This window comes from Homo sapiens, chromosome X (assembly GCF_000001405.40).
Source record: "Homo sapiens chromosome X, GRCh38.p14 Primary Assembly".
Classification (NCBI taxonomy): domain Eukaryota; kingdom Metazoa; phylum Chordata; class Mammalia; order Primates; family Hominidae; genus Homo; species Homo sapiens.
In genome coordinates this window covers 135,388,108-135,413,009 of record NC_000023.11, presented here as the reverse complement: position 1 = coordinate 135,413,009, position 24,902 = coordinate 135,388,108, and the positions used below count along the sequence as shown (strand labels likewise).

Genomic DNA, 24,902 nt, shown 5'->3' with positions numbered 1-24,902 from the left:
CATGCCTGTAATACCAGCACTTTGGGAGGCTGAGGCGTGTGGATCACTTGAGCCCAGGAGTTGGGCAAATTTCTTGAGCCTAGGAGTTGAAGACCGGCCTGGGCAACATGGCAAAATCCCATCACTATGAAAAATACAAAAATTATCTGGGCATGGTGGCTGTATTAGTTCATTTTCACGCTGCTGATAAAGACATACCCGAGACTGGGTAATTTATGAAGGAAAGAGGTTTAATGGACTCACAGTTCCACATGGCTAAGGAGGCCTCACAGCCATGGCAGAAGGCAAAAGGCATGTCTTACATGGTGGCAGGCAAGAGAGAATGAGAGCCAAGCAAAAGGGGAAACCCCATATAAAACCACCAGATTTCATGAGACTTATTCACTACCAGGAGAACTGGATGGAGGAAACTGCCTCCATGATTCAATTATCTCCAACTGGGTTCCTCCCACAACATATGGAAAGTATTGGAGCTACATTTCAAGATGAGATTTGGGTGGGGACACAGCCAAACCATATCAGTGGCACGTGCCTGTAGTCCCAGCTACTTGGGAGGCTGAGGTGGGAGGATCACTTGAGCCCAGGAGGCAAGGCTGCAGTGAGCCAAGATCGTGCCACTGCACTCCAGCCTGTGTGACAGAGTGAGACCTTGTCTCAAAAAAAAAAAAAAGAAAGAAAAGAAAAAGAACACTCAGGTAACTCACTGCTACCATGTCTTTCCTCAAGTCCCAAGGTCCATAGGCAGTCCTTACTTCCAACTGTTATGAAAAACTTCAGACATATGACATTTAACAGAGTTTATTTGAGCAAAGAATGATTCATGAATTGAGCAGCACTTAGAACCAGAAAAGGTTCAGAGAGCTCTGCCCAGCAATGTGAGCAGCAGGTTTTTAATAGCGTGATCACTGACTCAAAGTAGAGAAATCACCTGATTGGCTATACAGCTAGGCATTTGTCTTATTTGAGTATGGGCTGATGCGAAGTCTCTAATTACATAGCCAGTCAGCTGGTTGGCTGTTTGTGATTGGCTGAGGCTTGTTTTTCTTTTAAGTCAGTTAGAAGAAATGTTTCTAAGTTAAGTCCCAGTTTGCTTACGTAAGAGCTCTGGTTACAGAGACAACTTCAGGCTAATGGCATCCTGCTTACTTATTTTGCTTTAACACACCTTCAGAGTTTCCCTATACTTGTGGTATTATATGCTTCTGGTATAACAATACAATTAAATGCAACCTTATCAAGTAGATGTTTTGATCAGTTCTGTCAAATTTGTATCTTTGTGTATCCACCACCACAATCAAGATATAGAACATTTTCATCACAGCAGAAAGTTATCTTGTGCTCCTCCTAATCGACACCTTTCCTCTACACCTAGGCCAAGGACACCCCTATCTATTTTCTGTCACTAATGATTGGATTTGTTTTCCTAGGGGTTCACATACATTTGTTATCATTCACATCCAGGTTCATGCTGCCTGTGTGCAGTAAGTCAATCACTGTGGTGACAGGTTTTGCAAAACAGGAAGAATTTATTCATGAGGCAGCCAAGTGAGTAGGTGGGAGAATAGGTCTCAAATTCACTTCCCCAAAGATAAGGCTTAGGGATATTTATGGGTTAGAGAAGTGAGGTGGCCTAAGGAATGGGGAAAGGTGATTGGCAGTGGGGAAAAAATGAAGTAATCAATGATCTATGCAAGTGTATTTGGGGATTATGGAATTTCATAGGACATATGTTCAGAAAATGTTAGTGTTAGCATGATCTGTGGCTGGAGTTTTTGGCCTTCTGACAAAGAAGTCAAAAAGGCCACCTCTCAGGCATTTGCATAGGCCCAATTAAAGGGTCAGTGGTTTCAAATGGTTTGAACTGGACAAGAGCTGCTTCAAGTTCCTGAAAAACAACTGAAGCAACCGTTACCATGGTGACCTTTAAATGTTATCTACAAGGTAGCCAGTGAAAGTTAAGTTTTAGCCTTCAGCAGTGCAGCCTTCAGCTACCATGACCTTCAGCTTTATGAAAAAATATCAAAAAGCAAGCAACCACAGGCAAGTAGGGCAGGCTAAGTTTGGCAGACCTAACCAGCTTAACCCTTTGGTTTCCAATGGAATCATACAGAATGAACTCATTTATGTTTGGCCTCTTCGACTAAGAATAACATTTTTGAAATACAATCATGTTGTTGCATGTATGAATATTTAGTTCCTTTTTATTGTTAAGGAGTATTCTATTGTAGAAATACACCACAATTTGTTTACCCATGTATTTGTTGTGGTAGGGAACCTTTAAGATTGCCCACAGTGATCCCTACCTCCTGGTATTATTCCTTTGAGCCATCTCCAGCATTGAAAGTGGGCCGTAATTAATTACTTGTTTCCAACTATAAGACATTTAATAGCAACACTTGGCAGTGAGTCTTTTTAATTTTAGCCATCATAATGGACGCATAGTGGTAACTTGTTATTTTCTTTGCATTTATGTTATGACTAATGATGCTGAGTATCTTTACATATTTTGCCATTCAACATGTATTTTCTTGTAAAATGTCCATTTAAATCTTTTATTCCCTTTAACAATTAGGTTGTTTGTGTATTGAATTATAAGAGGTCTTTATATGTTTAAGATACAAAGCCTTTGTTGGATATACGTTTTGCAAATAGTTTTTTCGGTCTGTGACTTGCCTTTTAATTTTTGCAATGTTGTATTTCAAAGAGGAGAAGATTTTAACTTTGATGACGTTTATCAGTATTTTCTTTATGGTTCATGTCTTTTGGTCCTATGTAATAAAACTGTGCCTGTCCCAAAGTTACCAAAACCTTATCCCATGTATTATTCTAGAAGTCTTATAGTTTTTGCTTAGTATTCTGGTCTGTTACCTATTTCAAAATAATGCTTGTTTATGGCATGAGATAGGAGACAGTGTTCATTTCATTGTTTAAATGTATATTTTTAAAAATCTAGTTATCTCAGCAGCGTTTGTTGAAAAGACTTTCTTTTCCTTATTGAACAATTTTGTCTAGTCTTAAAGCAATACTACACTATCTTGATTGCTGCAGCTTGAAATCAGGTAGTGTAATTATTTCAACTTTGTTCTTGCATTTCTGTTAAACTTATTCCTAAGTATATTCTTCTTTGTGATGCTATTATAAATGGAATTGTTTTCTTAATTTCATGTTCCAATGATACATTGTTAGTGAATAGAAATAAAATTGCTTTTATAATTTATCTTCCTGATGGATTGACACTTTTATCATTATAAAACATCCCTTACAAATGTCACTAGAGAAAAAGCTTTTTGTACTAAGTGAACCTCAAGTCAGTTCAAAAACAAGGAGTCTTGCGAGTGAGATCTTCCAGAGAGCCAACAGATGGGTCAAATAATGACAATTCTTTGGGAATTAAGCTTTGTAAGAGCTCCAGCTCTGTTCTGCAACTCTGTCAGCTGTCAGGCTTCACTTTCAACACGACCCATTAGTTTCTTAAGTTGCGCCAGAGCTAGAGAGTGGAGAATGGAACTAGGGCAAGTTAAAATGCCATAAAGCTTGCTATTTTTATTGATTCAGCCATGTTTTCTTGAATAAATATTTTCTGGCTAGCTATAAGCCTTTGGGTTATGTCTATAGTTCTGAAAATGTTGATTCTAACTATTATTGCCATTATCCTTGTTGATATTTTGGAGGAGAGAAATTTTGGTGGTTGTTACTCTGCCATTTTCACTGACATCACCCTCCTTGTTATGTTATGCTATGTAGAAAACTAGACATTTTAGATAATATATTGTAGTAACACTGAATATTGATCTCCTGTGGACTTACTGTTGGTGTTGCTTGCTTGTTTGTTTAGTGACTTGGCTAGACTATTTTATTGAAGTTGTCCCCCACCCCCTAGCAGAAAGCCCCTGATGTTGTTCTTGAACTTGAGCATGTGCACATGAACTTCAGCATGTGCACAGTCATCCTGAGATGACAGTGGTTTTAGTAGGGCTATCTTTGACTATCTTTTTCTATGATCACACCTTTTTAGGCTCACTAATTGCCTGCTGATAGAGCTCTTTGTTTTCACAATGCCTTAGAGTATACATTGTTCTGTAGCCTGATCCATTTAAATTTCAGTCCCTTTGGAAATGTGGTTTTTAGCGAAAGTCTTTGAGGTTTGTTCTGATCCCAGGAGAAATCTTCTTTACTGTTTCTTTCCCTGGTTCTCTTTGGTAAACTCAGCCCTAGGTAACCATAAATCTTTTTTCTTTATAGATTTGCCTATTGTGGATTTTTTGTGCAAGTAGAATCATACCATATGTTGTCCTTTGTGTCTGGCTTCTTTTACTTAGCATACTGCTTTCAAATTTCATCCATGTTGCAGCATGTATCATTATTTCATTTCTTTTTATTGCTGAATAATATTCCATTGTATGGATATATCACATTTCATTAATCCATCCATAAGTTGATGTACTTATGGGTTGTTTCCACTTTTATATTATTGTGATTAATGACACTATGATTATTATACAAGTTTTTGTGTGTACACATGTTTTACTTGTCATGGGTGTATACATATGAGTGGAATTTTGGGGTCATATGGTAACTCTGCTTAACTGTTTGGGGAACTATCAGACTGTTTTCCAAAATGGCTGCTCCACCAGCAGTGTATGAGGATTCTAATTTCTCCACATCCTCACTAAAATGTGTTAATGTCCCTTTACTTTAACCATTTTAGGTGGTAAAGTGGTATTTCCTGGGTTTTAACTGGCATTTCCCTAAGCCTGATGTTATATGCAGGTTTTCTATAGATGCTTTTTATCAAGTTGGTAAAGTTCCTTTTTATTTATGGTTTGCTGAAATTTTTTTATCATGAATGAATGTTATAATTTGTCAAATGTGCTTCAACTTCTATTGATATTGTTGGGGAGGACAAACTTTGCTTTTATCTTCTCAGGTTCTGTTTTGGGGCCTGTGAATTAAACTGACAAAAGACAGGCAAACAGGAGAAAAAGTTTACAATTTTTATTGATGTTAATATTTTAAATTTTACATGTGTGAGGGCTTCATAGAAAAGAAATGAAAAACAATAAAAAAGGAAAACAAAATAAATGAAAAACAACAACAAAAAGAAATGAATAAAACAGAGAAAGAGTTAACTGGGGATACAAAATCAAAATGTGTGTAATATTTAAATTTTACATGCTTGTGGCTCCATAGAAAAATGAAAAATTAAAAAATGAAAAACAAAAATAAATTTAAAAAAGAGAAACAGTTAATTGGGGACACAACATGCAGACAAGAAAAGTTTGGTGCAAAGAGGAGAAAGAACAGATGACTAAAGAGTCAGAGAAAGAAGAATTGGTGGAGTGATGCTCTTGAGAAGGTAAGATTTCAGATCTGGTGTGCAAGTTAGAGATTTGACCTTAGACAGGAGTAAAAGCATTCATCTATGTGAATTAGTGGCAAGTCTGCATATTCTGGTGTTAGTTCCCCTCCAAATTCATCTACCTAATGCAGGTACAGAGAAAAGCAGTGCCTTATGTTTGACCAGAGTTGTGTTTTTGTCAATGGTCTATGACCAAGAAAGACAAGGGTCAGTAATTGAGATGGTCAGCAACCCGGTGATTACAATGATTAACATGGAATTTCAGCCCTGTAAGGAGAGGAGAGAGGACGTCACAGGTTTGAGTAAATGTGATAGAATCAATGAATGGGAATTTGCAGTGGGAATGAAAGAGTGTTAGAATCAGGATACTAAAATGAATAAACTTAAAGTTGAAAGTGCTCAGAGATTGAGGTGCATTACATTTTTTATACGGTTCCTGATATTTTATTTCTGGTTGTTCTCTCCATTTCCTAAGATATTTATCTTATAATCTTTTGTATTTGTGGATTTGTATATTTCTACTTGTTGTGCTCTCAACATCTGTTTTTTGTTGTTGTTGTTTGTTTGGTTTTTTTTTTTTTTTTTGAAGGGGTGGGTTGCCCCTCCACACCTGTGGGCGTTTCTCGTTAGGAGGAACGAGAGACTTGGAAAACAAAGAGACACAGAGACAAAGTATAGAGAAAGAAAAAAGGGGGCCCAGGGGACCGGCGTTCAGCACACGGAGGATCCCGCCGGCCTCTGAGTTCCCTTAGTATTTATTCATCATTATTGGGTGTTTCTCGGAGAGGGGGATGTGGCAGGGTCATAGGATAATAGTGGAGAGAAGGTCAGCAGGTAAACACGTGAACAAAGGTCTCTGCATCATAAACAAGGTAAAGAATTAAGTGCTGTGCTTTAGATATGTATACACATAAACATCTCAATGCCTTAAAGAGCAGTATTGCTGCCCGCATGTCCCACCTCCAGCCCCAAGGCAGTTTTCCCCTATCTCAGTAGATGGAATATACAATCGGGTTTTACACCGAGATATTCCATTGCGCAGGGACGGGCAGGAGACAGATGCCTTCCTCTTGTCTCAACTGCAAAGAGGCGTTCCTTCCTCTTTTACTAATCCTCCTCAGCACAGACCCTTCACGGGTGTCGGGCTGGGGGACGGTCAGGTCTTTCCCTTCCCACGAGGCCGTATTTCAGACTATCACATGGGGAGAAACCTTGGACAATACCTGGCTTTCCTAGGCAGAGGTCCCTGCGGCCTTCCGCAGTGTTTTGTGTCCCTGGGTACTTGAGATTAGGGAGTGGTGATGACTCTTAAGGAGCATGCTGCCTTCAAGCATTTGTTTAACAAAGCACATCTTGCACAGCCCTTAATCCATTTAACCCTGAGTTGACACAGCACATGTTTCAGAGAGCACGGGGTTGGGAGTAAGGTTACAGATTAACAGCATCTCAAGGCAGAAGAATTTTTCGTAGTACAGAACAAAATGGAGTCTCCTATGTCTACTTCTTTCTACACAGACACAGTAACAATCTGATCTCTCTTTCTTTTCCCCACGTTTTTGAGACGGAGTTTCACTCTGCTGCCCAGAGTGGAGTGTGCAGTGGCACGATCTCGGATCACTGCAACCTCCATCCCCCGGGTTCAAGCGATTCTCCTGCCTCAGCCTCCTGAGTAGCTGGGATTACAGGCACCTGCCACTACCCCCAGCTAATTTTTGTATTTTTAGTAGAGACTGGGTTTCACCATCTTGGCCAGGCTGGTCCTGAACTCCTGACCTCGTGATCCACCCACTTTGGCCTCCCAAAGTGCTGGGATTACAAGCGTGAGCCACCATGCCCGGCCACATCTGTGTGTTTTAAGGATGTAATATTATTAGATTCAGACACATTTAAAAGTAATTACAATTTTCTTATTTAGTTAGCCATCACTTTTTTCTGCCCATGCCTCAGCTGTTGGGGGTCTTTGCCTGAAGATGTGACACAGATCTTCATTTCTGAGAGGTCTGAGTCATCCATGGTACTGCCTATTTATTTTAATTACTGTAGCTTTTCATTACCTTTTAGTATGAACATAAAAGCACCAAGGGGAACCCAAGAAAATCCTGAGTTGATTCCAAATATGGCCCTCCCCCATTCTCTCTTTTATAATGTAGCTGCATCTGATTTCCCCTTAGTAATCAGGGTAAATCACCTCAGCCAGTGACATAATCCCCTACTTGACTGTTGTTTCTATGGCATGAGGTATTCAAAATGGCCAGGTGGCAGTCTTATCTTCCTATTCAGTGGAACCACTCATATGATCCCTGATGGAAGCATTCCTCCTTGGGAACTGACACTTCCAAATCAGCAGAGCTAAAAGTGGCAAGAAGAAGAAACAAAAAATCTATGAGTTGGCTGCTAAGAGGTCCTAGTGAGAGAAGGAGCTCCCTCTTCCACCCCTTAATTCCTGGACACATGTATTCTATCTATGGGGGAAACAACACCATATAATGGTCTCTGTTTTAAAGCATATATTGCATCCTTTTAGATAGAACTTCATCCTTTCAGGGTGTCGTCACCCAGGGGATTCCTGATTTTTCATTAAGTCTATCCACCTTTCAATTGTATCAAGCACTTTTGGGTGATGGGTTATATGATAAGACCAGTACTGAACTTCCTTTGATGTGAAATTAATTGTACAATCAAAAACAATGCTATGTGGAATACCATAATGAAGTATGTGGCATTCTGTGAGTCCACATATGGTGATGCTGCTATAAGCATTATGGATAGAGAAGATAATCCATACCCTGAATATGTGTCTATTATGATGAGGACAAATATCTGCCTCCTTGCCGTAATATGGATGTTTGTGTCCCATTCCCCCCACCAAATTCATATGTTCAGATCTTAATACCCAAGGTAATAATATTAAGAGGTGAAGTTTTTTGGGAGGTGATTAAGTCATGAGGGTAGAGCCCTAATGAATGGGAATAGTGTCCATATAAAAGAGACACAAGAAAGTCCCCTTGCTCCCTTCACCATGTGAGGACTCAGTGAGAAGGTACCATGTTTGAACCAGGAAGCAGGCTCTCACCAGACACTGAATCTGCCAGCATCTTATTCTTGTTCTTCCCAGCCTCCAGAACTATGAGAAATATTTTTTGTTCTATATAAGCTACCTTGTTTATTGTATTTTGTTATAGCAGCCTCAATGGACTGTGACACACATCCACAATGGAAGAGGTCCAATGTAACTGTCCTGCCACCAAGTTGCTGGCAGCTTTGCCCAGGGAACATTGCCATATCTGGAGCATAGTGTTGTTCTTTGCTATTTGTCAGGTTAGGACCTCACTAGTAATGGTAGCCAGATCAGCCTTCATTAGGGAAAGTCCATGTTTCTGTGTCCATAAGACCATTGGGCAAGAGGTGGGACAGATGGACAATTAGATTGATTGCCATGCACAGAAAATGTCCCCATTGAAAAGTAGTAGTCTTACTTAGACTACTGGGATTATGGGATAACAGAGCACACTCCAGTGTAGTATATGGTGCCTACAAAATCCAAAACTTGCCCACCAATCACTGAGCTTCTTTTTTCCAATGATGTAACAGGTACAGACAACACATACAGTGAAGCATAGATGGGTATATCCATCCTGCTACAGTACATTGACATACAAGAGAAGAGCTGAAATGTAGGATATAGAACTATACACACCAACGTAGGTAAATTTCACAATTATAATGGTTGAGTGGGAAAAAAGGTAGCATAAAAGTATGTACCAAATAGTAAGAAAAACATGTCAAGCTGTGTGTGTGTGTGTGTGTGTGTGTGCGTGTGTGTACATATATTGGATACACACACACATAGATAGCAAAGGTATCCAAAAGGCAGCAGGATGTTGAAGTGGAACTCTATTTAGTCTCAGACTTAGCTAATGCTTCCAAAATTGGTACCAAGTGCTTCACATCTTGCAAGGAGTTGCCTATCAGTGGAGGACTGGTAAAGAAGGCAATCACAAACAATCATGTAAGCTCTGACCACTCACCCATGTGTGAGTATGTACTCACATTAGAGAATCTGGGTGACTTGGAGAGCAGAGAGGCCCACTTAACAGAGGTTGAATAGTGTCCTCAGCTTACAGGAAGAAAATGCTCTTCACCTCAAACTTCCTGGAGTGATGGCACTTCACAGGGGCCACAAGAAGGGTTTGAATCAGCTTCTCAAAAGATAGTATCAGAAAGAAACTTAAAAAGGAATTAGGATAGCAGAAAGAGAAGAGAGGAGAGAAAGGGGAGAGAGGAAGAGAAGGGAAGAGAGAGAGAGAAATAGTATTTGGTTTGGTCTGGAGTATTCTGAAGGAAGTTTTCTCAAGAGATCTGTGTGGAGGCCTTATGTCAGGGAACTGTAGGGACTTGAGACCTAGTGATTTAGTCCCTGAACAGCCATTAATGCACTCACTTAAAAAAAAGAAAATCAGATTTAAACAGCTGCTAAACTCCATCCAGATAAGGGAGATGTTTACTGACCTGAAACTCTTGCCTTTCCCCCTGTTCAACAGACCCTGGTGGACCAGTATTTGCAAAAGGGGAGGGGTGCAGATGATGTCTGAGTACAAGTGGAAGGGTCACCACCCTTTCCCACTGCAGGCTGCAGCCTAGACCTAGCCTGAGCTGGGGGAAGCAAGAAGCTTTGATATGGGAAGATTAGAGTTGTGATGTTTATCTTGGACAGGGTGTACAAATTACTGAACACTGACCAAGTGGAATACTAAGGTCACAAAATACATGTTCTTATCTAGCAGTGATCAAAAAATGTGTAGGGCTAACTCTAGGATTGATAATAGGGAGCAGAGATGAAAGAACCCAGCAGAATGGACGTGGCTTGGACATTGGGAGGGGTTATGGGACAAAATAATTTGAATTTGGCCTCTACTTATTTTACACAACAGCCATACAGACATGAGAACGACAAATCCAAAATTCAGAATGGAGCTTACGTGAGGGACAAATGAAGTCCTTTAGTTTAAAGTTGCATTTTCTTTGCTGGGAGGTGAGTAAACAGGCAGTTCCTCTACTGTTACCTATACATTTCTGTATTGCTGATCTACTTCCCCACACCGTGGTTTTTCCAAAATATCACTTTTGTCCAATAACTCTTTTTATGGCAACTGAAGATGGTACATGAGCTCAGGCCCGTGTAATCTACCAGTCTTACCATCACCCAGAAGCATCTGGCCTTATACAGTGCTGGAATGGCCTGTTGAAAAGTCAATTGTAGCATTATGTAGGAAGCAGAAACTTGCAAGGTTGGAGGGCTGTCCTACAGGATATGGCTCTAGTTCTGGACCTGTAAGCAACCTATAGTGCCATTCTCCATTGCCAGGATGGGACACAGAATGACTCTCCCCACTCTTATGCCCCCCAAAAATGATTCACAGATTTTCCCCCTTCCTTTTCTCCAAAAATAGGACTTGGATAGTTTAGAGGCTAAAATATTTGAGCTAAGATGCCTCTTCCTTGGAAAATATCCACAGTTCCATTATCTTGGAAACTGACATTGACTCCTTGTTCCCTGTCCATTTTCAAGTCTTTGGATAACAAAAGTTGGGGTTGAGAAGGGGTCACTGTCCTGAATGGGTGAGTGATCCAGATGACCAAGGGGAGTTTGGATTGCTGCTTCCTAATGTGAGAAAGATGACGAGTTCTGTACCTGAGGGGATTCACTGGGGCACCACCTAGCACTTCCGTGTCGAGCTCTAATGTTCCACGGAAAATTGATGCAATTCCATAATGGTATCACTTCCAAAAATTCATATCTTTCAACAACAAATTCCTAGGTTATTCCACCAGGTACACATCCACCAACATTTCCAGGTGCTGACAGAGTATAAGAAATTAGTTTCATAGGGAGATAAGATGACTTTTCCTTCACCCATTCCATGAGAATGTGTAGGAAACTTTCTTGTAACCACTAAAGTTACAATTTAGGATCTGTGTGGTATTGTAATCAAATCGACCTCATATCGTGTGTTATGCAAGGGTATTTTTTCCTCTGATCAAAGCAACAGTGGGTGCTGGCTGTGGAAAAAAAATGGTGAATTGGTTAGATTATTCTCAGTTTGTTCAACCAGATATATGCTTCTCTACAAGGCTCTGTGTTCCAGAAGGCTGATACCATGGACCACATCACTTTGGCTTCCTTGCTCTCTGGTTAGTAGATGATTTGAGCAATGAGAGGCAGCAACCAGAAATGAAAGATTAGAAGAAGAGTGTCTCCTGACACCGTGTGCGCACTCTCCACTCAGCCTCTAATCCCTGGCAATCAGCTGCGTCCAGATTTCCCCAGAGGAGGCTACTTATGGCCTCCACTAAGATTTCCTGAGAAAAATCTCTTTAGGAGAATCTGGCCAAATCTCATCCCTCTCCTGCAGCCACTCCCCTTGTAAAATTTATTTGTGAGTCTGACTTCTGGGGACACAAGTCAAGCCCAATAAGGATATGCTGAGTAGCCACAGCCTTCCAGTAAATTTGAAGTGTAAGGGATTTTCCTCTTGAGAACTCAGCACACTATGCAACCCCTGTGAAGTGGGCTTCCTGGTCTCCAACCCACCCAGACTTCCAGTGTGAGTAGACACCCGCAGGTGGGTGAGTGGTCAGAGGTCACATGATTATGATTGCCTTCTTTACCAGGCCTCCATTGTTAGGCAACTCCTTGCAAGATGGGAGTTAGTTGGTATCAACTGTTTTGGGGCACTAGTCAAGTCGGAAACTGGACAGAGTTTCACTTGAATGTGCTGCTGCTCTAGTTTGGATAACTTTACTGTCTATGTATATATCCAAGTACTGCTTGGCACAATTGAGTAACTATTTGGTACATAATTCTGTGCTACTTGTTTTCTCACTCAGTATAATAGTGAGATTTATCTGCATGTAACTCTGTATCCTAAATTCTGTCTCTTCTGTTGTGTGGCCATGGAGTGTAGGAGGTTGACTGTTATTAGCCTCTGCTCCTGTGGGTTTGGCTCCTTCTTGCCCTACCTGCTGCTTTCTCAGCCTCCATTCCCCACCTTTTCTCCACCTCACAGCCACTGTTCGATGCTGGACTGCAGGTAAATAGTCACCGACGCAGGAGTGTCCAGGCAGCGTTCCCCGCAAAAGAGCACCCAGGAGGCCCCTGTACCTGGCAACCTCTAACCCCTCCCCTCCATTCTACAGCCAGCTGCATCCTCTGAGGAGAGGCTGGTGGCTCCTTTTTGGCAATGCTGAATCAGAGCAGGGACAGAGAAGGCAACAGGGACAGAGGGGAGGGTGAAAAGGACATAGAGGGGTTAAATTTTCTACCCCATAAAAAATCTAAGCCAGGTGAGGTGGCTCGCGCCTGTAATCACAGCACTTTGGGAGGCCGAGGTGAGTGGATTACGAGGTCAGGAGTTCAAGACCAGCCTGGCCAACATAGTGAAACTCCGTCTCTAATAAAAATATGAAATAAATTAGCTGGGCATGGTGGCAGGTGCCTGTAATCCCAGCTACTTGGGAGGCTGAGGTAGGAGAATCACTTGAACCCGGGAGGCGGAGATTGCAGTGAGCCGCGATTGTGCCATTGCACTCCAGTCTGGGCGACAGCGTGAGACTGAGTCTCAAAAAAAAAAAAATCTGGAGGAGACCTGACTAAGGGGCAAGAAAATACTAAGCCTAAGCCTTAGATGTAGGGGAGGGGACACAGGAGGGGCCTTGGGGAATGCTGGACAGGTTGTGAGAACACAGGGAATTGGAGAGGAGAGGAAGTGGGGACAGAAGGGCTGCTCACAGGCTTATTTTGCATCTTTAAAGGACGTTAAAGGACAAGAGAGATGCTTAGAATTTGTGATGGCTTTTGTAAAGTAAAAATAAAATCCTAAGCCCTCACCAACAAAATTGACCCTCCTTTGGCCAAGGGGACCCTAGAAGAACCTTAGAACTGAGTTCCTGGTCATGAGCAGATTGCAGGTCAGACAAGCCTCATTATACTCCCTCTCTTTTATGGTTTAGACACAACTCATCAGCATTAATGTTCAAATAGACATCATAATAAGGACAGAACAGACTTTTTGAGGCAATATGATACAAAATTATAAACAGTATTCAAGGATGTCAGGCAAGGGTTAAGCCATGCACCCTTACACTGAAATAATAAAGTATATTCCCACTGCCACAAGCTTTTCTTTTTCTCTAGCAGTTAAACAAGCACTGACCTAGAGATAAGCAATATTGAAACAATTGCAACTCACTTGTTGCCAGATGCTGACTAACTGACCCTCACTCTCCTATACCATAGCCATAACTACAGCTTTCACTGGGCAATCGATTGATTGATTGCAGTAACTATCTCCTAATAAGAAACCACCGACCATGGACTGGCTCTGGCTGGATTATAGAGATTGTGCACTTGTGTTCCTATGTGCCCTGAAAGATCTGTTGTCATATAGGGCCTAAATGTGATACAGTTAAATGTTATGCCTGCACCCCAAGGTGAACATGAGTGGTATGTTACAGGGATGTTTCTTGAAAACGAATGTGTGAGATCCTCCTTATGAATATTCATAGCTCCTCCTGTAACTTGTAGAATCTGTATGTTCAGCCAACCCATTCAGCATAAAGCTCCTGCCCCAAGCCTTCCTCCTTCCAAGTGCCGGTCTGTGGTCTTGGCCAGAGGCACACTTCCCAGCCTGTGGCATGGCTGCTGTGTAGGCTGCAACCCTTTCTAAGAAATAGAGTTTCTTAGACACTAAAGCATTTAGAAAACAGACCTATAGCCGGGCGCGGTGGCTCACGCCTGTAATCCCAGCAATTTGGGAGGCCGAGGCGGGTGGATCACAAGGTCAGGAGTTTGAGACCAGCCTGGTCAAGATGGTGAAACCCCGTCTCTACTAAAAGTAAAAAATTAGCCGGGCATGGTGGCAGGCGCCTGTAGTCCCAGCTACTCGGGAGGCTGAGGCAGGAGAATTCCTTGAACCTGGGAGGAGGAGGTTGCAGTGAGCCAAGATCGTGCCACTGCACTCTAGCCTGAGCAACAAAGCCAGACTCCATCTCAAAAAAAAAAAAAAAAAAGAAAGAAATACAGTTTCCTTGTCTCCTTTTATAAATTTAAACATTATGATTTTACATAAGTTAACACTTTTGTGGTTCACCTTATGTAAGTTTCATCTTACTCCTAACTTGGGCTTGCCAATATCCACCATGGCTCTGACCTTTTTGCTCTCCCTGTCCCCACTTCACCTTTAGCTCTCACTTCTTAGTGACCAATTGCCCATATAATTCCCATTTCAGGTTTTTTGGAGTGAGTATCTGACTTGCTCAGCACATTCCTTGGGGACAGAGCTTTTTGAATGGGAGCCATCTCACATGTCTTGTTGGACTATCCGACGGCTTCCCTTCAGGAAAATTAACTCTCTTTGATTAGCTGTGGCCTGAAGGTTTGTTTGACATGCCAAAAAAAAAAAAAAAAAAAAGCCACCAGGACATTCTACTTTCCTGGGGACAATGAGCAGGGCAATTGCCTCTAGTAGGCTCTGTGGACATGATATCTGCAATGTTAAAGCATACCCCACACTCCCAACCCAGCTGTTGGTCTGCTCTTAAACAATGTCTTTTCACTAGGACAAGCATTAGGTTTTAGAGGGGAACACCAGGGCTGTCTCTCCAAAATGGCTAGGGAGAAGAGTCTTTGCTCTTTGAATGCCAAGTACTACATCACTACTTCACAGTGTTTTTCAGATTGATGGTGGGGGACATCTGGTGTGCAGCATGATCTCACTCTCTGCTCCGTGTCTGAGCACCCCTGCACTGTGCGTTAGGATGAACAAAAGCCCCTTCCAGTGTAACCCAAGTAAGCCCTGTCAGCAAACACATATCCAATCCAAAGGAGTGAAATGACAGACTGTTTTAATAGCTCAAACATGGGAGGAGTTTATTGTTCTAATTATAATTAATATCTCAGAATTCTGGGCAGGCCTCAGCACATAAGCCACATGACTCTTTGTCCAAGGCCATGTTCACCCTGGAGTTGCTTTATGACAGCATCCATATCCACCTTGACAGGTTGATGTCGCTTCTGTGCCTGCCCAGTTGTCTGTTGATTAAAAAGACCAGCACATTTTGGGTGGGCTTCTTGCATTTGAAGGACTTGTCAGGCTTCTTGATGTTCAGTGCAAGCTTGTTGGGACTGGCTTTAGGGAGTTATTTATCCATGACGCAGCGGCTCCAAACAACCTCAGGAAGATAGCTCAACTAAGAAAGCCTGAAAAAGATGATGAATTCCAGGTAATCAAGTGGACCTGGGACCTCTTCTTCACTGCCACACACCCACACAGCCACATATCAAGCACACGCACACACACAAACACACACACACTCGGCTACCAGCAGTAGTCACAGGCGATTGCTTTGGGCCATCATCTGATTTGAAATGCCAACCATATCATTTATTCAATCTGTCTCACACATGGGGCTGTATAGGAGCCTGACGGGACCCGGAACATTAAGGATACACTGTTGCATCAACCCGATCTTCATCTGACACACACAGACTTGTTAGATTGCACTCAAAGCACTAGCTTAAACTCAAGTGTTAATGTAATTCTTATATCCACACTAACTTTAACTCAATTTTATGTTGCTCTTTTGCAGAGCTGCCTTCTTCTCACCTCTGTCTCCTTTGAATATCATTGGTGAAGCAGGTATGGCTCTTACTCCAACCCGCAGTGTAAGAAATAAACTGTACATTCTCAAGCGATACCTAGTTTCTGTTTCTAAGGCCCATCCTGCTGAGTTTCCATCTGGGGAACGTAATCTCAGTGATTTAAAGATTGTACTCACCTCTGATACCTGACCCTGTCTCACCCTCAAAAATGCTGTGTGGTATTTTATTTGAATCTGGCACAATGCCAAGGCCAGGGGTGGATGCCAACTGTGTTCTCAATTTTGGGCTCCCAAGAGAGATTAAAGGACTTGCCCAAGGCTACAGAGAGGTGAGACTGGAACTGAGAAAGCCTATATCTGAAGCCTTGTGCTCCTACCCACTCTTCTATAGTGTCTCTGTATCACTTTGAACAAATGACTCTCCCATACCCTCCCCTGATTACCAAACAGGGTTGGGGTTTATCAGATAGGTTAGTTAGGTAATGGCACAAAAGGATGCTCTATGATCTTAGTATATCAGGATATTTTACCTGTCAGGCCACTCAGATTGCTTTTTAAGAAAGATCTGGACCAGAGGGTAAACAGTAAGAGGAAACATACTTTGGCACTCTCTCTCTTTCCCTGAGTCCCAGGGCCTTATTGGTTCAGTACAAAGTGAAGTCATGGTTACTACGGTGACTCACAATTGCCCTCAGAACCTAGTGCCAACAGTATGCAAGATTCAAACACTGGCCACCATCCCTGGCTTCCTTCGGGTTCAGGACTCAATAGGGTGAGGGAATTTGCTGGGTGAGGAAGCAGGTATATCCTGTGGCTGGGCGCCATCTGCGTCTCTTTCCTGGATGAAACACTCAGCTATCCTGGCCTCAGAGCTTCTTCCTGGCTTGTACAAAATTCCTTCATTAAAATTTCTTCTTTGTGTAGATAAACAGCACCCACTGCATCTTGCCAGGTTCCCTGGGTAGTGATCAGCAACTTTGTCTGCCATGTTCCAATCAGGGAATTAGTCTCAGGTCGAATTTCCCACTTACTTGTCAATCTCTGCATCCTGCCTTGGTCATGACTCTGCAATTACTCCTTCTATAATATATAATTCATGTAAATGGAGTGTTTGTTTAGTCGCAGAAATTAAACACTGCAATTTGACACTGCTGTGTCTCACACACCTACCCCCCTCCCAAAGCTCAGTGCAGTGGAGCTCCATACTTTTATTATGTGAACCTAGGATGCAGGTGGGCTTTTAATGCTTTGGAAAATCTTATGCTAAAACTGGTCCAGTTCCTTGAGACACACTCATATGTCTCAAGCCGTAGTCCCTTCCAAGTCTCTGATCTAGAATAACTATATTGTTGTCATTAAAGTGTGACCCATGTGAGTATTGTCTAGATGCAGGACATGATTTTCCAGGCTGTCCAAGTGTATTAGTCAGGGTTCCCTTAGAGGGACAGAACTAATAGGAGATATATATATATATATATATATATATATATATATATATATATATATGAGTTTATTAAGTATTAACTTACACGATCACAAGGTCCCACAATAGGCTGTCTGCAAGCTGAGGAGCAAGGAGAGTCAGTCTGAGTCCCAAAATTGAAGAACCTGGAGTCTGATGTTCGAGGGCAGGAAGCATCCAGCAGGGGAGAAAGATGTAGACTAGGAGGCCAGGCCCGTCTCAATAGTTCACATTTCTCTGCCTGCTTTATATTTGCTGGCAGCCGATTAGATTGCGCCCACCAGATTAAGGGTGGGTCTGCCTTCCCCAGCCCACTTATTCAAATGCTAATCTCCTTTGGCAGCACCCTGTAGACACACCTAGGATCAACACCCTGCATCCTTTAATCCAATCAAGTTGACACTCAGTATTAACCATCACAAGTCCGCCCCTTGTCAACTTGAACCCATACACATCTCCTCAGAGCACACATAATCTTCAAATAAAGACAATAATAAGGTCATAATTATGTCTAACATAATACAACTATCCTTCATACAACTGGAAACGCACCAATCCCCAACCCAAATATTATTACATAAAGTTAACAATACTAAATGCTGATATAAAGTCAATAAATCTTATGTCACATGATAAAGGAAATAAAATAAAGATATTTTCTTAGTACAAGTGTATACATGCACAAACATGTTTTTAACAAAAGGAGAAAATAATCATGACAACTACAGTCCTCATTTCTGCAGCTGGTCACGTGGTCATAGCTGGTATTGATGACTACCTTCTTCTACTACCCATTCTGTATTCCCTTTGCCTTCAGCAAACACCTCCGCAGGTCATGGTCTTTTTCCTGGTGGAGCGACTGAAACCTTCGTTCCTGAAGGGTCTGGGTCATTTGTAGTCCTGCCTAGATTGGGCTGTTGTAGTTTCCCATTGGCCTTAATCACAGGGCATGGTAATACTAAGAGACGCCCTAATGAATCTCCTGTATTCCATGCATACACTTTTTTTTTTTTTTTTTGAGACAGTCTTGCTCAGTCACCCAGGCTGGAGTGCACAATCTCGGCTCATTGCAACCTCTGCCTCCCGAGTTCAAGCGCTTCTCCTGCCTCAGCCTCCTGAGTAGCTGGGATTACAGGTGCGTGCCACCACGCCTGGCTAATTTTTGTATTTTTAGTAGAGACGGGGTTTTACCATGCTGGCCAGGCTGGTCTCGAACTCCTGACCTCAAGTGTTCCACCCGCCTCAGCCTCCCAAAGTGCTGGGATTACAGGCATGAGCCACCGTGCCCAGCCCATGTGTACTCTTTCTTATCTCCGTTGTGGAGTAGTAGGCTGATTTCATCTTGATAGTCTGGGTCAGTCACCCCAGTCAACACTATAACTTCCTTCTTAGCCTGTTGACTTAAAGGTAGGAGGAGCCCAAAGCGTCCAGGTGGCAACCTTAACTTCCACTTTAATGGAATCGTTGTTGTGTCTCCTAGTGGCAGCATTCCTCCCTCTGGAACTAAGACCTCTAGGCCAGCAGAATGTAATGTCATGGGAACAGGAAGCAAAAATTTTGCTCTCATTATCACATTCTTTTTTTTTTTTTTTTTTTTTGAGACGAAGTTTTGCTCTTGTTGCCCAGGCACTGTGCAATGGCACAGTATCAGCTCACTGCAACCTCCACCTCTCGGGATCGTGTGATTCTCCTGCCTCAGCCTCCCAAGTAGCTAGGATTACAGGCGCCTGCCACCATGCCCAGCTAATTTTTTGTATTTTTAATAGAGACAGGGTTTCACCATTTTGGCCAGGCTGGTCTTGAACTCCTGATCTCAGGTGATCCGCCCACCTCGCCCTGCCAAAGTGCTGGGATTACAGGCATGAGCCACTGCGCCCAGCTTCATTATCACTTTCATCATCAGGAGGGCAGGAAGCATCCAGCACAGGAGAAAGATGTAGACTGGGAGGCTAGGCCTGTCTCTACCTTTCACTTTTCTCTGCCTGCTTTATATTCGCTGGCAGCTGATTAGACTGTGGCCACCAGATTAAGGGTAGGTCTGCCCATTTACTCAAATGCTAATCTCCTTTGGTAACACCCCACAGACACACCCAAGATCAACAAACCTGCATCCTTCAATCCAATCAAGTTGACACTCAGTATTAACCATCACACAGAGGGACAACGGTAAGGACAGGGCTTTGTGTTTTTTGTAATGGGTTCTCATGAGGAACTAAAATGACTATTATGAGGAGACGTGGCTTGCCTACACACTGGCTGCCCACTCAATCTTATGTAAGAACTGAGGAAATTGAGGTTCCTGTAAAGGGACCCAGCACACTCCCTTTCCTGAGTGGCAGGGAAGGAAGGCTCAGTCTTCCGGGTTTTCTTCTACCCCACGTAGAACCATGTAAAGACCACGAGGCCATGTTCAGTGTCCTAAACAATTTGAAGAGGGAAGAGAACTTATAGGTATAGAATATTTTAACAAAGAAAGTGGAAAACTGTCTTTCTCTTAAGGAACTGACATCCTAGAAAACCAAGGCAATCACCTAGGAAGTAGGCCAGGAGAGGCTGACTGACAGAATCTAAAAGCATAAAAATTTGCATTGTAGGCCAGGCACAGTGGCTCATGCCTATAATCCCAGCACTTTGGAAGGCTGAGTGGGGTAGATCGCTTGAGCCCAGGAGTTCAAGAACAGCCTGGGCAGCATAAGGTGATCCCATCTCTACAACAAAAATAAATAAATGAAAAATTTACATGGTCTTCCAATAAATAGGGAATATAATAGAAATAAAATATCTTACATTTGTCACAATCGTTATGAAACACCTAGAAAAATGGTGAAGACACATATAAGGAAAACACACACAACTTTTTATGAGCTTCCAGTTTGAATATTCAAATAAGATTTTAAAATACTACATTTTTCTGAAAATGAAGATCAATTTTTGCAATGGCATCAATTCTCCTCTAAATAAATCAGTGAATCCAGTGCAATCCTAATCATAAGTCGCAGCAGAATTTTGAGTGTTTGTGTAACTGGAAGACCAGATGAAATTATACTGCGAAAAATGTGAAGGATTATGTAAAAGGGGGAGCTTGTCATTCTGGACTTGAAACTTACTCTGTAGGATTGGTAAATGAAACAGGAATTGATAGACATGTCCACGGACCAACATAGAGATTCTAGAAATATATTCATGCAAAGCCGACTCTTTTGGTCAAGCGCGCGTGTGTGTGTGTGTGTGTGTGTGTGTGTGTGTGTTAGGGAGGGGAAATGCAGAGGGGTTTCCAGGACTACTTGGTGCTTCTCCTTCAGGTAATTCTGGATTCCATCAGCTTTCACAGGTATCTCTTCTGTGCTGTCTTCCTGAAGCCATCTGTGGAGTCAAGCAGTCATGGCTCAGGGACACTTTGAAGTAGGTACCAGCACATCTGCACGGAGCATCAGGAGGAAGGCAGATGAATACTTAAGACCCAGCCTGGCCGCTAAATACGTGCTGAACATTTTACTCAGTAGACAGCTTGGGAATCACAAAAATGACACGGATCTGACAGAGTCACTGTGGACGCTGGCACAAGCCACACCAGGCTGGAGCTGGCCTTTGCCAACACACCATGGCATCAACTCACCTCTGCCCTCTGGCGAGGATGGAAAATCCAAGAAAATAGTGTGGATCAATAAATCCTTCCCCTGATGCAACCAATTACAAATGGAAGCTGTGTTGCTTTTGGTTGGACGTGGCTTTTGTTCATGTGGTTTCTTGACTTCTGAGCCATCTCTGTGCTACCAGAGGTCACAAGCAGATGAACTCTATCTACTCCCCCTTGAAAGTGTGTTTACTAATGTTGCAGAGTCTGGGGGTGCTGGAGTAAACAGGGGCCCTGTTTAGAGAAGCTGGAAGGGAGGCTGAGTGGACACATGGAGAGGCCATGCAGCCTTAAATTTCTATTGGGAGGGGGCTTTAAGGAACCCACTTAGAGGTCTTGATTTGTCTCCCTTGATGTTTGGAGTAGTCAGTGGTTAAAAGTTGGAATCAAAATTGAATTTAAAATGGGAGTGGTTTGTAAAGGGGGGAGGGAATTCTCTCAAGATAAAGGGAGCTAATGAAGCAACTAGAAACGCCCCAGAAATAAAGAATTGTCTTTGAATTTTTGGTGCAAAGTAATTTTGAGCCTACATTACTTTTAGCCAGACATTCAAGTGTGAGGGTAAATTAGCATGCAAGGTGTTCAAATGTACTTTCCCTGGAAATAGACCCTGAGACACACTTGTGCGTAGAAAGTGCTTACTTGGGATGGAGTCCCAGATAGCACTGGTAGGGGGGTGGGGACGTGAGACACACAAGGAAGGCAGCCAATCAAAGGTGGGGAGAACTATCTAGCAGGTTACCACTGTGGGCAATTGGAGCTAATTCCCAGGGGGACCCTGTGGGAGACTGTGTGGAACATATACCTCACATTCATCCCAAGTGTAGGGTGAAGAGGCTGGGGGTATTTAGCCACTAAATACCCAACCATACTTGTTAAAGCACTTCCCCCAGGGGTGATATAAATCTCTGTCACCTCCACCTTGCCTTGTTTGATGTTCAGCATGGTCCAAAGGTGAGAAAAAAAGCCCCTAAGGCAGAGAGTCATGTGTAGTAAGTAGCCCTATAGATCCAAAGGTGAGACTTAGCTCTGCAGAGCCAAGACTCATGGGTGTTTTTAGTAACTTGCCTTGAGATTTAGAGGTGAGACCTGAGGGGATACAGGAAGACCATCGCAGGAGTCTGCTATACAAGGATTTAAAAAATATACTACCATATCAATTTGGGACCTAACAGCAAACAGAATTTGAATCAGATAGTTCAAGTAGTCATACTCTAATAAAGGAACCACTTGCATATGTAGGCAGAGAGAAGATACCACATAGGCTGTTTGGATCAGCAAGAATGGGAAATTTTTAGGAAACCTGGAATTTCAGTGGCAAGGGGAAGAAATAGTGTTATTGGCTAGCACTAAAAAACACCACTAACCAACAGCTGTAATTGTAGAGTGAGAACTCCACTGCCAGAGATACAGTGACAAGTAACGCTTGTGGTGAGGTTGGCCTCTCTCCTCCCACTCTTGGATTTCTTGCAGTTGCCTACCACTGGCCAAACCCAACTATTAGCTGAAGGCAAGGAAGCCCAGGTAATGTAGTCTACAAGCCTCAGTCTCCTAGGGCACATAGCTTGCAGAAAAGGTTACAGGATATATCTAGGTGGACAAAACAAAAATAACCAACACACTTCATTCCTACTGTCAATTGCTAAAACTCATCTACTGTTGCCATTTACTCAGATGGAAAAACACTCTTCACAACATAAGGAAGATACAAAGGCCCATCAGTCAACATATTATCATGGGGTGATGTCAAACCAATCATAATCCCACCTGTAACCCAAATTATAACCTTAATGATTACCAGTACTTTTTCAATAGTCATGAAAATCACAGGGAGAAAGCATTCTCACTTTTCTTCCTGTGACATCAATTCCACGTTCTCCTTAATCTATGCTGGCAGCTCAAGTTCCTGGTGAATATTTACCTGGCAGGGTGACTCAAGCATTCATTGCCAAAGGATCTGAGTCCTTGCAGGTGATGTCATCATGGAGTTGCATCAGTTTTCCACTGAACTTTAGAACTGGACTTGGGAGTGCTAAGTGATGCCCCAGTGAATCTCCTCAGTTCCAGAAGTAGTCTTCTTTTCCCCATTGTGATGCAGCAACCCAAATTCCCTTTGGTAATCTGGATGAGTCACTCACTCTTTCAGTATGGTAATTTCTTCTCAATTATCGGTTTTTTGGGGCAAGGGGATGAAAATGGACAGAGGACAATAGCTCAGTGTCAGTTTCCAATTTAATGGAACCATAGATACATTTCTTTGGAGAGTCATTCTTGATTTGAGCTTTTAAAATTCCAAACCACTAAGCCTAATTTTGGGGGAAAGAAAAAGGAGAAAATATGTAAGTAGGTTTCGGGTGTTTAAATTCTGGTCTTGGTTATTTTTCATACATTTTCTTAAAAATGACAGGTAGGGAAATGAATCATCTGACTGAGTGCTTGTGGGTTTTATGACAGTAGATGCTATTCAGCCTCTCCAGTCAGTTGCCAAAGAATACAGTTTGGAATTTTGTTATACAAAACAATTGTTATTTAATGTCCTTTTATTATTTAACTAAAATTTGGGACTGGTCTTTTTCAAAAGCTTTATTTAACTTACTCTCTTCTTTTTAATTTATAAATAAGGAAAGTATTTGGCTAAGTGCTTATGGTTTTATGCCACTGAATATCCCCAAGCTGCCAGCAAGGCTAGTTTTGTGTTTTGTTTTATAACATAAATGTATTTTCTATAACATTCTGCTGTTTAAAAATTCTTATTATTTAATACCTTTCCTTGTCTAATAACGTGATGGTTAATTTTATGTGTCAGCTTGGCTGGGACAATGGGTGCCTAGATATTTGGTCAAACTTTATTCTGGGTGTGTCTGTGATGGTGTTTCTGGATGAGATTAACATTTGAATTAGTAGACGGAGTAAAGTAGATTGCCCTCCATCATGTGAGTGGGCTTCATTCAATCAGTTGAAGGCCTGACTAGAATAAAAAGGCTGACCTTTCCTCAAGTAAGAAGGAATTTTTCCTGCCTTTGGACTCAATCTGAAACATTGGCTTTTGTGGGGCCTGAAGTCTGCCAGCCTTTAGAATGGAACTACCTGTGAACCCCGAACATCTGAGACAGGTCTCAGTTAATTTAGAAAGTTTATTTTGCCATGAGAATGTGCACCCGTGACACAACCTCAGGAGGTCCTGACAACATGTGCCCAAGGTGGTCAGAGCACAGTTTAGTTTTATGCATTTTAGGGTGACATGAGTCATCAGTCAATATATGTAAGACGAACATTGGCTTGGTACGGAAAGGTGGGACAACTGGAAGCAAAGGTGGGACAACTCAAAGTGGGGAAGGGAGTCCCAAGGCATAGGTAGATAAGAGTTTCTATGCTTCATTACGTTTATTGATTTGCATATGTTGAACCAGGCTTGCATCCCAGGGATGAAGCCCACTTGATCATGGTGGATAAGCTTTTGGATGTGCTGCTGGATTCGGTTTGCCAGTATTTTACTGAGGATTTTTGCATCAATGTTCATCAGGGATATTGGTCTAAAATTCTCTTTTTTTGTTGTGTCTCTGCCAGAGTTTGGTATCAGGATGATGCTGGCCTCATAAAATGAGTTAGGGAGGATTCCCTCTTTTTCTATTGATTGGAATAGTTTCAGAAGGAATGGTACCAGTTCCTCCTCGTACCTCTGGTAGAATTTGGCTGTGAATCCATCTGGTCCTGGACTTTTTTTTGGTTGGTAGGCTATTGATTATTGCCTCAATTTCAGAGCCTGTTATTGGTCTATTCAGGGATTC

General features: G+C 42.2%; 1 long non-coding RNA gene across 1 annotated transcript, besides 2 other annotated features; it reads right to left on the bottom strand.

Annotated features, from left to right (window-relative positions):
• Positions 3,760-4,262: an enhancer, noted in NCBI's record as "NANOG hESC enhancer chrX:134542673-134543175 (GRCh37/hg19 assembly coordinates)". NCBI's record gives its function as "activates a minimal SCP1, AML or CMV promoter by ChIP-STARR-seq in primed H9 embryonic stem cells {active_cell/tissue: H9 hESC(primed)}" and the evidence as "EXISTENCE:reporter gene assay evidence [ECO:0000049][PMID:30033119]".
• Positions 6,897-7,774: an enhancer, noted in NCBI's record as "OCT4-NANOG-H3K27ac-H3K4me1 hESC enhancer chrX:134539161-134540038 (GRCh37/hg19 assembly coordinates)". NCBI's record gives its function as "activates a minimal SCP1, AML or CMV promoter by ChIP-STARR-seq in primed H9 embryonic stem cells {active_cell/tissue: H9 hESC(primed)}" and the evidence as "EXISTENCE:reporter gene assay evidence [ECO:0000049][PMID:30033119]".
• On the bottom strand, positions 15,261-16,581 carry LOC100506790 (uncharacterized). Its single transcript, NR_104652.1, is given in 2 exon segments — positions 15,261-15,617; positions 16,549-16,581. It is a non-coding gene; the product is annotated as an uncharacterized LOC100506790 (long non-coding RNA).
• Between the last annotated feature and the right edge of the window lie 8,321 nt (positions 16,582-24,902).